We start from the raw sequence: 13,968 nt of genomic DNA on the forward strand, positions 1-13,968 counted from the left end.
CACCGTGCCCCGCCTGTGACCCTTTTATTATTGCTTGGTCAATGGAAGAGGAAGAAAATGTTATTATCTGCCAATATATCTTGTAGATTCAAAAATAGTATTTAAGTACACTATTGACTATTGCCCTGTAAACAATGAACAGGTCTCTATTTCAAGGAGAATTGTCCACAGCTGTGTCAACAAAGGTTTCATGCTCCCTGTCCACCAGTGGGAGTGCACATGATATTTTGAAAAACAGGTGTAAAATCCCCATTGCTCAGTCTAAGAGTGGTTGTGGATTTCTCCTGCCTCCTTCAGAGCTGGAATCATATCAGGTGGAAATGGTCCTGGCTGACATCTCACCAAGCACCTACTCTGAAGGCTGTGATGAGGTGGGTGGAGGAGTGGAACCTGCAGAATGGGAATTTTCTTTTTTTTCCTTTTTTTTTTTGAGACCGAGTCTCGCTCTTGTCGCCCAGGCTGGAGTGCAGTGGCATCTTGGCTCACTGCAACCTCTGCCTCCTGGGTTCAAGCGATTCTCCTGCCTCAGCCTCCCAAGTAGTTGGGATTACAGGCATGCGCCACCATGCCCAGCTAATTTTTGTATTTTTAGTAGAAATGGGGGTTTCACCATGTTGGCCAAGCTGGTCTCGAACCCCTGACCTCCCACCTCAGCCTCCCAAAGTGCTGGGATTACAGGTGTGAACTACTGCACCTGGCCAGAATGAGAATTTTCAACTCCCCTTCCCAGCAAAACACATTCTGAGAAATGGAATTCTGTGTAGAAGCAGCTTTCTTCTGGAGCATGCCCTTGGTTCCTGGGACTGGAAGTAATCATCTCGCAGGGCTCTGTCTCCGCCCTTTTGAGTGAGTTCAGTGGGAACAATATCAAATGAAGAAAGGACCTCAGTTCAAGTGCAGGCTCTGTGTAACCTTGAGCAAGCTTGAGCCTTGAGACCTTACCTCTGAAATGGACGATAACACACGGGATGATGGTTTTCTCTCAGGGTTCTTGGGAGGCTTCCATGAACTGGGACAAGTGAAAGTACTTTGCAGCTAGTCAGCCACCATGCAGCAAGAGACAGCTTTGCTGCAACCACAACTTCATTTCCTGTTTTCACTCTATCTTCTGTTCTCCTTGGAGTCCTGGCCACCAGTTGCATGGCACTTCCCATTGAGGAGGGGCCCAGGGTGAGGATTTACTTTACCAGGCTTGGAGGATAAAGGAGAAGGTGCCAAATCGTTTGCTTATTTACATGCTTATTATTTGTGTCGTGACATTACAATGCCGGTTCCTTGAAGACTGTCTGCTGGGTCGATTGCAGTATCATGGCAGCCAGGGCAATGCCTGGACCTCTTTACCAATATATCAGTTATCAATCTTATATTAACATTATCGTTGATATTTATCATCAACTTATTATTATTATTATTTTGAGATAGAGTCTTACTCTGTTTCCCAGGCTGGAGTGCAGTGGCATGATCTCGGCTCACTGCAACCTCTTCCTCCCTCGTTCAGGCGATTCTCCTGTTTCAGCTTCCTGAGTAGCTGGGATTACAGACGCCCGCCACCACACCCAGCTAATTTTTTTCTTTTTTTTTTTTTTCAGTAGAGAAGGGGTTTCGCCATGTTGACCAGGCTGCTCTCAAACTCCTGACCTCAGGTGATTCATCTACCTCAGCCTCCCAAAGTGCTAGGATTGCAGGCATGAGCCACCATGCCCGGCCTCATCAACATGTTATTAATTATATATTATTTATTACTTCCATTATATAATATTATCAATTATATAATAATATACCATCAATATTTTAAATTATAAACTCCCCATCAAGGGGCAGCCCCTGGGAGACAATGGCATGGATGATCCCACGCAAGAAAGAACTTGATGTCAGCTCTGTTGAAAGGGTCACAGCAGGCTGGGCATGGTGGCTCACGCCTGTAATCCCAGCACTTTGGGAGGCCGAGGTGGCCAGATCACTTGAGATCAGAAGTTTGAGACCAGCCTGGCCAACAAGAGGAAACCCCATCTCTACTTAAAAAAGTACAAAAATTAGCTGGGCGTGGTGGTGGGCACCTGTAATCCCAGCTCCTTGGAAGGCTGAGGCAGGAGAACTGCTTGAACTCAGGAGGCGGAGGTTACAGTGAGCCGAGATTATGCCACTGCACTCCAGCCTGGGTGACAGAACGAGACTCCATCTCAAAAGAAAAAAAAAGAAAGGGTCACAGCACTTTTGAGAAATGCCACCGGGACATTCAGACTTCAGGCCTTAGTGCTTTACAATGCCTCAGTGATGTGCGAGCTCAAGCCTTATCAGCCACTGGGGTTGCCCTCCCCCTGGCCATCTGACTAAGCTAGAATATCATGATTTACACATGTCCTCACCAGAACCTAGAAGCTTCCATGACACCTCCAGGAGACTTTCCTTCTTGCTTAATATTTCTTTTTTATGAACTCCAGAGAAACTTTCTATTCTGCATGAAATGTTCAAAGCCTTATTAAAAGAAAAAAAAGTATACTGTTCTCAATCCCATGTTGCACAGTTGGATGCGTTTCCCCTGAAGGGGAAGCTTCTGAGGGCTGGAAGTTCCATGAGCTTCTTTAGTTGAGGCCCCACTCATAGAGAAAAGAAAGAGTTGACTAGGTGCAGTGGCTCACGCTTGTAGTCCCAACACTTTGGGTGGCCGAGGCGGGTGGATCACTTGAGGTCAGGAGTTCAAGACTAGCCTGGTGAACATGGTGAAACCCCGTCTCTACTAAAAATACAAAAATTCGGTGGGTGTGGTGGCGCTTGCCTGTAATCCCAGCTACTCGGGAGGCTGAGGCAGGAGAATTGCTTGAACCCAGGAGGCTGAGGTTACAGTGAGCCGAGGTCGTGCCACTGCACTCCAGCATGGGCAACAGAGCGAGACTCCATCTGAAAAAAAAAAAAAAAAAGAAAAAGAAACAATTATCTCAGGAAGGTCTGGGAGCCAGGTACATTGTCCAGGCATGCAACTGGGAAGGCATTTTACAGGCCTGGCATGTGGTGAGTGCCCCTCACATTTTAGTCGGATGACTAAACACAGAACATTTGATTTGTTCTTTCCAGAACCTGGAACTCAATAAGAGGCTTACAGAGAGCATCAGAAACAGAATAGGAACAATGGAGTTGAGGTTTGGCCTTGAATACGAGTAGCGGGGAGGCTACCTGCTGGAAAATCAAGGGACAGCAGACCCAGGCCAGAGGCAGAATAAAAAATATTGCTGGGCCAGGCGTGGTGGCTCATGCCTGTAATCCCAGCACTTTAGGAGGCCAAGGCAGGCGGATCACGAGGTCAGGAGATCAAGACCATCCTGGCTAACACGGTGAAACCCCGTCTCTACTAAAAATACAAAAAATTAGCCAGGTGTGGTGGTGGGCACCTGTAGTCCCAGCTAGTCAGGAGGCTGAGGCGAGGGGAATGGCGTAAACCCAGGAGGTGGAGCTTTCAGTGAGCCGAGATCGTGCCACTGCACGCCAGCCTGGGTGACAGAGCAAGACTCTGTTTCAAAAAAAAAAAAAAAAAAAGTGCTGCCAAACTAGAATCTAGGTGTCAACTAACCAGGGACTTTGTAACCTGCACTTTGTGAACTCACTCTTTTCTTTTTTTTTTTTTTTTGAGACAGAGTCTCTCTGTCACCCAGGCTGGAGTGCGGTGGCGAGATCTCAGCTCACTGCAACCTTTGCCTCCTGGGTTCAAGCAATTCTCCTGCCTCAGCCTCCCGAGTAGCTGGGACTACAGGCACCCACCACCGCACTCGGCTAATTTTTTATATTTTTTAGTAGAGACGGGATTTCACCATGTTGGTCAGGCTAGTCTTGAACTCCTGACCTCAAGTGATCCGCCCTCCTCAGCTTCCCAAAGTGCTGGAACACAATACAGGCATGAGCCATCGCACCTGGCCTGAGCCATCGCACCTGGCCTGAGCCATCGCACCTGGCCTGAGCTCACTCTTTATTTCCATCATCTGTGTCCTTTTTCTTTTCTTAATTTTTAAGACAGTCCCTTGTGAAAAAGCCTCCATCCTGTTCCAGCTCTTCCAAGGGAAGACGGGGACAGGCCTGGGCTCTGTGTCTGGAGCCAGAGAGACAAAGGAGGCAAAGAAGGGACCCTGGCTTGGGAAGGGCTGTGACCACCCAACCTGTATTTGTGCAGCTTCTCCAGACCCAGGGAACTCTGTTTTCTGTTTTATCCTTACAACTGTGATATAGTCAAGGTTGCTGGAGAGAATTTACATAGAACCCTACTGGGGTGGAGAAAACTCGAGAGGAGCCAACTAGGGCAGCCCTCCTCCTATAAATGCAGACAGCCCCTCGACCAGAACTTTCCAGAGTGGATTTTTGGGGCCAGGGTTCTCTGGGTAATGGCAGGCGTTTCTCAAAGAGAAGGTTTCAAGGTCAAAGCAGAAAAGCAGTCATTACCACAGGACATTCAGAGCTGCATCCACTCGTAGTCAGCTGAATAATAATAATGATCTCCAAAGAGATCAGGCCCTAATCTTTGGAACCACATATGGTAAAGGGGTCTTTGCGCGTGTAATTAAATTAGGGATCGAGAAGAGAGATCATCCTGGATTGTCCAGGCAGACCCTAAATTGCAAGATACGTTATGAGTGGCAGGCTGCGGAAGATTTGGCACGGATGGGAGGGGAGGAGGCAGAGATGAGCGTAATATGGCCACAAGTCAGGAAATGCTGGCAGCCACCAGAGGCTGGAGAAGGCGAAGAAGGGACTCTCCTGGCACCTGGGAGGGGGCGTGGCCCTGTGGACCCTGGCTTTTGACCTGGCCTGTGTGCTTCGGACTTCTGGCCTCCAGAACTGTGAGAGAACAAATTTCTGTTGTTTTAAGCCATCAGGTTTGTGGTCATTTGTTATAGTCCGCACAGGAAACAAATATGTTCATTTAAAACTGTAAATTGGCCGGATGTGGTGGCTCATGCCTCTAATCCCAGCACTTTGGGAGGCTGGGGTGGGCAGATCACTTGAGCCCAGGAGTTTGAGACCAGCCCAGGCAACGTGACAAAACCCCATCTCTACAAAAATACAAAAATTAGCCGGGTGTGGTGGCGTGCACCTGTAATCCCAGTTACTCAAGAGGCTGAAGCAGGAGGATTGCTTGAGCCCTGGAGGTCGAGGCTGCAGTGAGCTGTGATGGTGCCACTGCCCTCCAGCCTGGGCAACAGAACCAGACCCTGTCTCAAACAACAACAATAAAAACCTTGTAAATTTCCTGAAGGTTTGGGACTCTGTCTGATTTGTTTCCTGTTTCATCCTGAGCCCCTAAATAAGACCTGGCTTTGGTAAATGCTTAGTACATATTTATGGAATAAATGTTGGGTGTTCACGGGTCTCCAAGAGGAGGATAATAATTTGTGGTGCTTCCCAAACTTATTTACCAAAAGAACCCTTTTCCAAAAAACATCTTTTGGTTCAAGGGTTTCTCACTCTGGGAAATACTGATTTTTGTTGTTGTTGATGCTGCTGCTGAATCTTAGGAAAAATGTAGAGGGAGTTGTTTAAATGGTAGAGTCTACAGTGCTGGCTTTTTGCTTTTTTTTTTTTTTTTTTTTTCCCTAGTAACCTGGTTTTTACCCTTGGAATGCTCAGCACTTTACAGTGTCCCATTTTTCTTGGGTGATGGGACATGCTTGTGGCTGCCGATGCTCTGATTGTGAGGCAGAGTATTTATGGGAATGAATGGCTCTGATCACACATTTGTATTAACAAAAATGTGATGCTTTGAAATGTTTAAATGCCACACAGTCATTATTTATATATTGTCCATTTAAAAGGAGAGGCAGTCAGAAATGTCACGCCTGCCCAGCTTTACAGTAATAACACTATTTATTGCAGAGATACAAATTGTCACACTAGCGATATTTAGCAGTGGCATCCAGCTTCCCATCTTCAGCCTGTGCTGGCACTGTATGTTGTGTGTCAACTGCAAATGATCAATTACAGTTCTTCTGAAGGGGGCCCCCTTCTTTTCTTCTCCAAGGTGATTGGCGGTGTCTACAAGCATGAGAGAAGCCCTTACTCTCATTGCCTTTGCTAGTGTGTTTATTTAGGGTTTATAAAAGAAAAGTGCACACAGGTATTACTCAGATGTGTAAGACTCCGGAGCCAGAGGGTAGGTGGATGCAATCCTTTTTTTTATTTTTATTTTTGAGATGGAGTCTCGCTGTGTCGCCCAGGCTGGAGTGCAGTGGCGGGATCTCGGCTCACTGCAAGCTCCTCCTCCCGGGTTCACGCCGTTCTCCTGCCTCAGCCTCCCGAGTAGCTGGGACTACAGGCGCCCGCCACCACGCCCGGCTAATTTTTTGTATTTTTAGTAGAGACGGGGTTTCACCGTGTTAGCCAGGATGGTCTCCATCTCCTGACCTCGTGATCCGCCCGCCTCCACCCCACAAAGTGCTGGGATTACAGGCGTGAGCCACCGCGCCCGGCCGGTGGATGCAATTCTTTCACAGCACACGATAACACATAGCAGTGGGTCCTGCTGAGCCCTGTGCACGGGGTATGTTGAATTCACTCACAAGATGCACTCCTGAGAAGGAGGTCGAGAAACACAGGAACAAGCTGGTGAAAGTCCGGGCGAAAGGCAGGTAATAGTGGTGGCTGTGTTGAAACAATTTCCAGTCTGTTTTTTTGTTTTGTTTTGTTTTGTTTTGTTTTGTTTTGTTTTGTTTTGTTTTGTTTAATGGGGTCTGGCTCTGTCGCCCAGGCTGGAGTGCAGTGGCACCATCTCGGCTCACTGCAAACTCCGCTTCCTGAGTTCAAATAATTCTCCTTCCTCAGCCTCCCGAGTAGCTGCGATGGCAGGCGCGCTCCAACATGCCCGGCTAATTTTTCTATTTTTAGTAGAGACAGGGTTTCACCATGTTGGCCAGGCTGGTCTCCAGCTCCTGACCTCAGGTGATCCGCCCGCCTCGGCCTCCCCAAGTGCTGGGAATACAGGCCTGAGCCCCCGCGCCCGGCCTCCAGTCTGTTTAAGAAATATTTTATTTCTTCCCCCCCACCCCACCCCTCCAAGAAAAGATAACTGTATTATAAATTCTAAGAAGTTCTGGAAGAGAGGGTATTACATACCCAGGTGGCAAGAGGTTGCTGAGAAGCAGAAGTATGTGTAAATGATTAGTAATGGGAGATCAAACTTCAGAAATCAAAACATCCCTAAGAGAAGAGAGTTTTTAAAATCTAAGATCATAGGATTCAAAGGATGAAGTAAGTTCTCAAGTATGTCTCCCTTTCTAGAAGTCAAGAAGATTTAGTTCTGTTTTGTTATCAAGGTCAATTACAGTAATGGATACTATCTGTTGTTTCTCAAGATAAATTTGCATTTTCTGCAGGTTCTTTTGGAGAAGTCAGGTCACTTGGAAATAATGTTCTGGGTAGATGACTGAGCAAGAGGTTCTGTATGATAATTCTTCTCTGTTAATACCATCAAGATATCAATTTAAAAAAACAGAAATCTAGAGACTATTTAGTGAATATATTAATACTGAGAGAGAAAGAAATTAGCCCTTCTTAGGAGTTAGGTTAAAAAAAAAAGAAGAAAGGTAAACACTTTAAAAATAAGTGAAACCCTTATTCAGTACACACCATTAATAGCAAGAAAACCATTAAAGCTCCTGTCCCTTCTAAAAATAACAGCTAAAAGAATCACAATGAGAATATAGATGACCTTCATTCTCAAATACAGAGGAATGGGACAGAACAACCACTGAATCTGTTGGAGTTTTAAAACCATAAAATGTAGTGATTGCTTTAAACAGAACCATTTAGAACATTCTAGAAGCAGTAACAAAAGAGAGAGAGAGAATACTCCAGAATATTGAATTACTAAACTAAAGAATAACCTGGAAAATCAAGTGTATGATAAAGAAGGATTAACCCTTCCATAGATAACATAAAAGAAAAACCATACATCCCGGTTTTCCAACCTGGCAGCCAGGGCCCAGAGGTCAATAAATGTTAGCCACTGTTGAAACTATTCCTCCTAAGAAACAATTAAATTATGGCTCCAGCCCATAATTTAAACCATAAGCCAATAAAATTTCCAGAACTGATTAAAGAGGTTAGATTGGAAACTGAAACAGACAGTGGTGAATATATATATTTGATTTTATAGGCATTTAAAGTATTCCACATCTCATTCCAAAAAAGAATCTCAGCTCTATGGGGCAGTTACATAACAGACAAGCTATAAATAAAGAATGAGATCAATCGATATGTAAATAAATGAACTCAGCGATAATGAAATCGTCACCAGAGGCTTGGTCCCTTTGACCACTCTCAGCAACTCTCTGGGAGTATCTCAGTGTGTAGGAAAAGATACTGCAGTCGGTGGCAGAGTTAAAACTCTAAACTCCGTGCTCCTCCCAGCAAGGGCCCGCCCGTAAAGTCTGACAACCGCACAACAGCAGCCAGACAGTAATGCTCAAGTTTCCCAGTGGAGAACAGAGAATGCAATCATGTTTTCTCAGTGTTCAGTGTGAAATGAATACAAGTGACTGGCATGATTTTACCTGTTCTATTCATGTTCTTATTTAAAATGGAATCAAGATGGGTGGTTTTCTGCTTTTAAAAAGTGCTTTACTGTAGCAGTTGAGACTGTAAGCTTCCTAAAAGCAATGGAAAACTATATATAGTCTTCCTAAAAAGGACAAAAAAAAAAAAGAGAGATTCTCACAGATTATCTACCAGATTTGATCTCAGAAAATGCTGCAGATACTCCCTGACCATACACTCCCCTCCGAATAGCATTTCCAGAGCCATAGCAATGAATGATCAGCGTCAGTTACAGAAAAGTGTAAGAATTATTTAAAACTATTTTACAAGTTATGAGGAATGAAAAAGGAAAAGAGAGGGCAGGTGTAAAGTTAAACGTGCAAAATTCTAAATGTCAGATTTTTATGAGAAGTCATTATTATGTATTTAAAAAATACCAATGTTTGTTTTGTATTTCTTTTTAGAATTAAGTGAAGTAAAAGAAGCTTAAATATGACCCTTTCCCAAGTGAAGAAACAAAAAAGAAAAATGACAGAAAACAAAATAATAAAAATATGGTTAAAATGGTTTAAATACAAAATTACAAGAGCATGCCAATAGATTAAATTTCAGTATTTTCTTAAAAAGAGTTTCAGGTTGAATTCAAGAAAAAAACCAAGAATATTTTATTTAAAAGAGAAAGAAGATGAGATGTGGAAAGAACAAAAATAATTGGTTAGGTAAGAAAATATCAATTAAATATATTATGATATCAAAGCAGTATATAAAGCAAAAAGGATTATGTGTGAGTTTGTGTGACAACAAAAGGCAAAACAATCACTAAAAACGAAAAGTATTTATATGAACTACAACACATTGCAACAAAGTACATAAAAAAACTTAGACCTGCAAGATGAAATTGAGAGAAACAAAATATTAGCAGAAATCCTTATCCCACCATAAAAATTAGATGGATGAATTAGGGAAAAAAAAAGAAATAAGACTTTGTAAAACTGAAAACTACAAGAAAGAAGGCCGAATGAGCAATTTTATGGTGAGAATTTAAAGAGAAAATGCAGAATATATAAAACTTTCAGAGAAAAGAAATGAATGGAACTTTTCAATAAAGGAAAAACACTGATAATTGTATGCACTGTATTATGTGACATTGCTGCAAAAATGTTCATAGTTTATTTTAAATAAACGAAAAATAACTAAATATCAATGAAACAAAAATTCTATCACCTGGTCAAAGAAATTTAAAATATAACAACAAATCATTTTAAAATATGAAAAATGAAGATACTATTTAATAAATATTTGAACTTAGAGAAAAGATATATTTAAAGAAAATGTATTGTTTTACATGTTTTATTAATAAAGTAAAATTTAAAAAACTAGAAATACACTTCTAGATACAGGACCAAGCAAAACCCTCAAGACAAAAACACCTACAGCAGTAAACAAATTGATTCTGTGAAACTGTCACAAAACATTCTGCGAAATGCTAAAACAGAGAGCTCTCTTACTTTGAAAAGACAAAAAAAATCAAATTCGCTTTCAAAATTAATGAGATTAAAAACTCTAGAAAGTTTTGAAAATCAATGAAAAGAGACAAAATCATTAGAGATTATGGTGTCCATTTACAATGGTGATGCACTTAGAAATTTAAATAAGATGGATGATTTTACAAAAGTTAGAGAATATAAAATGGTATCATGAGAGACAGAAATGTGAACAGTCCAGTTGCTAAGGAAGAAATTAAGAAGGGTAGCCAAGAGACTGCTTTCCTTGCCACAAGGAATTAGCTGGAAATTTTTTCAAAATTTCAAATAAAAGTTAATTACACCTAATAAAAATTTTTCTTAAGTTAAATAGTTCCCAGTTTATTCTAGCAGGCAAAAATGATTCGGTTCTTAAAAAGTGTAATACTACAAAAGAAATCTGTCTCTAATGAAAACGCTTGTAAGTGTGAAGATATCTGCAAGTAGAATGTGATCCTATTTTTAAAGATTTGTTTACCATATATTTATGATAGGGTTCATCACTATAATATGTTTAGTTTAAAAATGTAATGAATAAAGTACACAATTTAAATAAATTCAGGAATAAAATTTTTATGATCTTCCTGATACAATAGTTAAATATTTGATAAAAATTTAATGCTCCTTCCTGTTATAAATTTAAATACAGAAATAGGAAAATATTTCTTTAACATGAGATAATTTATCAGTCTGTAACAGAGAAACTTTTGAAGGACTCCACTTAAAAACAAGCAAAACAAAGATTTTTTTTTTCTTAAAATTATTTAGCATATCAGTGGAGATTCTTGTCATCCTAACAGTGCTTCAAAAATGTGCTAGAGAATCAATATTATAAAATAGAAAACAGAATCATTAAGTTGAACCCAAAGAAACTAAGAATTCCCACTAAAATATTAGAAATAAAAAGAGAAGTCAGGAAAGTGTCCAGATAAAAGTGAAATCCACAAAACCCTAAAGCATTTCTACTAAAAACCAGCAAGTAACTGGTAATTGGTTTGGGGCAGTCTCATTCACAATGCTGACAGAAAATATGTAATATCTGAGAATTTTCCTGATACGAAATATGCAAACAAAACTAGAAAATGCTAAACTTTAAAAGGAGATGTAAAGAAAGATGAACAAATGCTTTATATTAGGTGATTAAATATAAAAAAGAATTTATTTTATCTCAAGGTAATTTTTAGATCTGATTTATTTTTAATCAAACTATAAAAATACTTATAAAATCTAATAGCAAAAGCTATTCCAAATTTATAGCTGAAAAATAAATAGGCATGAATGGCAAATGCAATTTTTAGAGATTTTTCCTCATTATGAAATACCAAAAAGAAAATAAAATGCATGCTCATTGAAAAATTTTAGAAAACACAGAATAGTGTAAATGTGAAAATTAAAATCACCATGGGCTTGGTTTAAATGCAGAAACAAATTAAAGTACAATAGAAAATGCAGAAGTAGATTGTGGTATGTGAGAAACTGGTGAATCATAAATATTAACAAAGCAAAAGGAAAAGTAATAATTATTTAATAAATGCTCTGGGGATACTTAGAAATCAGAATGAAGAAAAAATTAACCTGACCTAGACCTCAAATCCATTACCATAATAAATAGCGGGTAGATTAAATGGTAAACTAATAATAATAGTAATGACAGTAACAATAGAAAAACTAGGAGAAGAATAGAACTATGTATGAAAATAATTTTGATTACTCAAGAAACGGAAAAAGTAGACTGATATAATTAGATTTCTAAAAAATCATATAAGATAATGAAAAATATTTGAAATAAATTATAGGCAACTGTTTGCCTATAATCAATATCTAAAATTGATTAAGGATTTATACAAATTGATTAGAAGAGAAGCAAATACCAGTGCTCAAGAGACAAACGTTAAAAGCAAAGGGATGGTTTAAACAAAACAAAACACAAATAGAAAACCAACATCTGACAAACCAAACACCTTTTCTAAAATTTAAAGAAATTCAAGTGGAATCAATGTGTTTTCATTTCACACCCATGAAATTAAATGAAAGGAAAGAAAATGATAAAACTCACTGATAGCTGGACTTTGGGGAAAAAGAGGACTCCTATTTTGTTGATGGCAATAAAAATGGGTTCATCTCTTCTGGAAGGAAATGTGATGATCTGTGTCACACACGCACATAAAAGTTCCACCCAGAAACATTCATCTCTCAGACTTTATCCTAATGAAATTAGTTTTTTAAAAAATTATATACAGAGATGCTTATAATGGCATTGTTTAAAATTTCAAACCCTGAAAGAAGTTTAATAGCAATTTAAATATTACAAGAATAGTTGTAAATGTTAAAATCAACTTCCAAAATGGTTATGCAGGGCAGGGAGGGCACCCACCACACTATGGATGATTTTGTTTGATCAAAGAATTATTCTGCTAAAGAAAGTTTAAAAGTAACTCCTTTCCAGGACAAAAAGAATTTAAAGATAATTGCAGATACATTGGAAAACATGTAATAAAAAAGTGGAAAAGCAGAACATAAAAGTGCAGGAAAATGTGTAAAACTATGGATAATGGTGGTGTAAAATCCAGTAATATAGGGATAAAAATCAGAAGAAAGGCTTAAAGTAATAGAAATAAACAATTTAATTAAAGAAGGTGAATATTGTTTTTAAATTGGTTTACTAAAAAATGAAATTAAAATCTTAGGCTTAAGAGTAGAAAAAGAAAGGATGAATCCTTAAATTCCAACTAGTGTACGAATAAAGTGCTTTTGGGTATGCATTTTTCAAATCTCAGCTTAGCAAGACCCCCTACTGGAGTAAGTGGTGGTGGGGCAAAGCAGAAGAAAATTATTTCAGATCTGGGATCTTTATCATTGCCTGGGGATCATTTTCCTTCAGCAAAAAATGCTCAAAGAAGAATTGTGAGTTATTTAAGCAACTTAAAGACAAATCTACTGACTTATTGGTGTTTATAATGTACCCGCGTATGTATTGTTTTTTCTAGTATCAATTAATATAATATCGGGTAAATATCTTTATGATATTTTGTTTAAAATGTAAAACATATTTCCATCAAAAACAGCACCATTCTTCCACTTATTGATGTTAAGTGTGTGTGTGTGCACGTGTGTGTGTGTGTGTGTGTGCATGATTCTAGGAACACATGGAGGAGGACAGGGGTCTTTGGGGCCAGTGATCCTTGCTTGCTCAGCCAAAGGAGCTTTCGAGGACAAGGACCATGTGAGTTTCATGTCTATATGACCATAACATAGCCTAATCCAATTTTGCTCCTATATAGATCATTGTTGATAAAAATAACCAAACCTAACAAAAATACTAAAATAATTAGAAAGGAATGTAATAAATTAGAATGATGGACTAGACAACAGTAAATTAATCAATAAATATGAGTGAAGTATATGTGTCCTTTAAGAGAATTTATCCTAAACCATTTGCTGTTAAAATGTGTTCTAAGCCTCTTATTATTAAGATGCCATTCAAATTTTCATCCTTAGAGCATCCACAACATCAGCATACAGTATCTTTATGCGTTTTTAATCCCGTACTTCCAAAAGGGCACACAAGCCCTTCCTTATATTTTCAGAAAAATTGTTTGCATGAAAGCCCTTTAGTTCTCTCTCAACTTTGCACCTTGACCTGACGTCTTAACATCAGAAATGCTGCAAATCTGACAAAGAGTGGCCGCATTTTTGGAAAATCAGCTTGGGCTATCATGGAGAGCTCTCTGGACATGGGGACAGAAGACTTTGGCGTGAGTTGCTGCTTTGTCCAGTTTTCCCAGACCTCAGAGTCCTCACGTATAAAATGGGGTAATAGGCTGGGCGTGGTGGCTCACGCCTCTAATCCCGGCACTTTGGGAGGCCGAGGCGGGTGGATCGCTTGAGACCAGGAGTTGGAGACCAGGCTGGCTAACATGGCGAAACCCCG

Source organism: Homo sapiens, chromosome 15 (assembly GCF_000001405.40).
Source record: "Homo sapiens chromosome 15, GRCh38.p14 Primary Assembly".
Classification (NCBI taxonomy): Eukaryota; Metazoa; Chordata; class Mammalia; order Primates; family Hominidae; genus Homo; species Homo sapiens.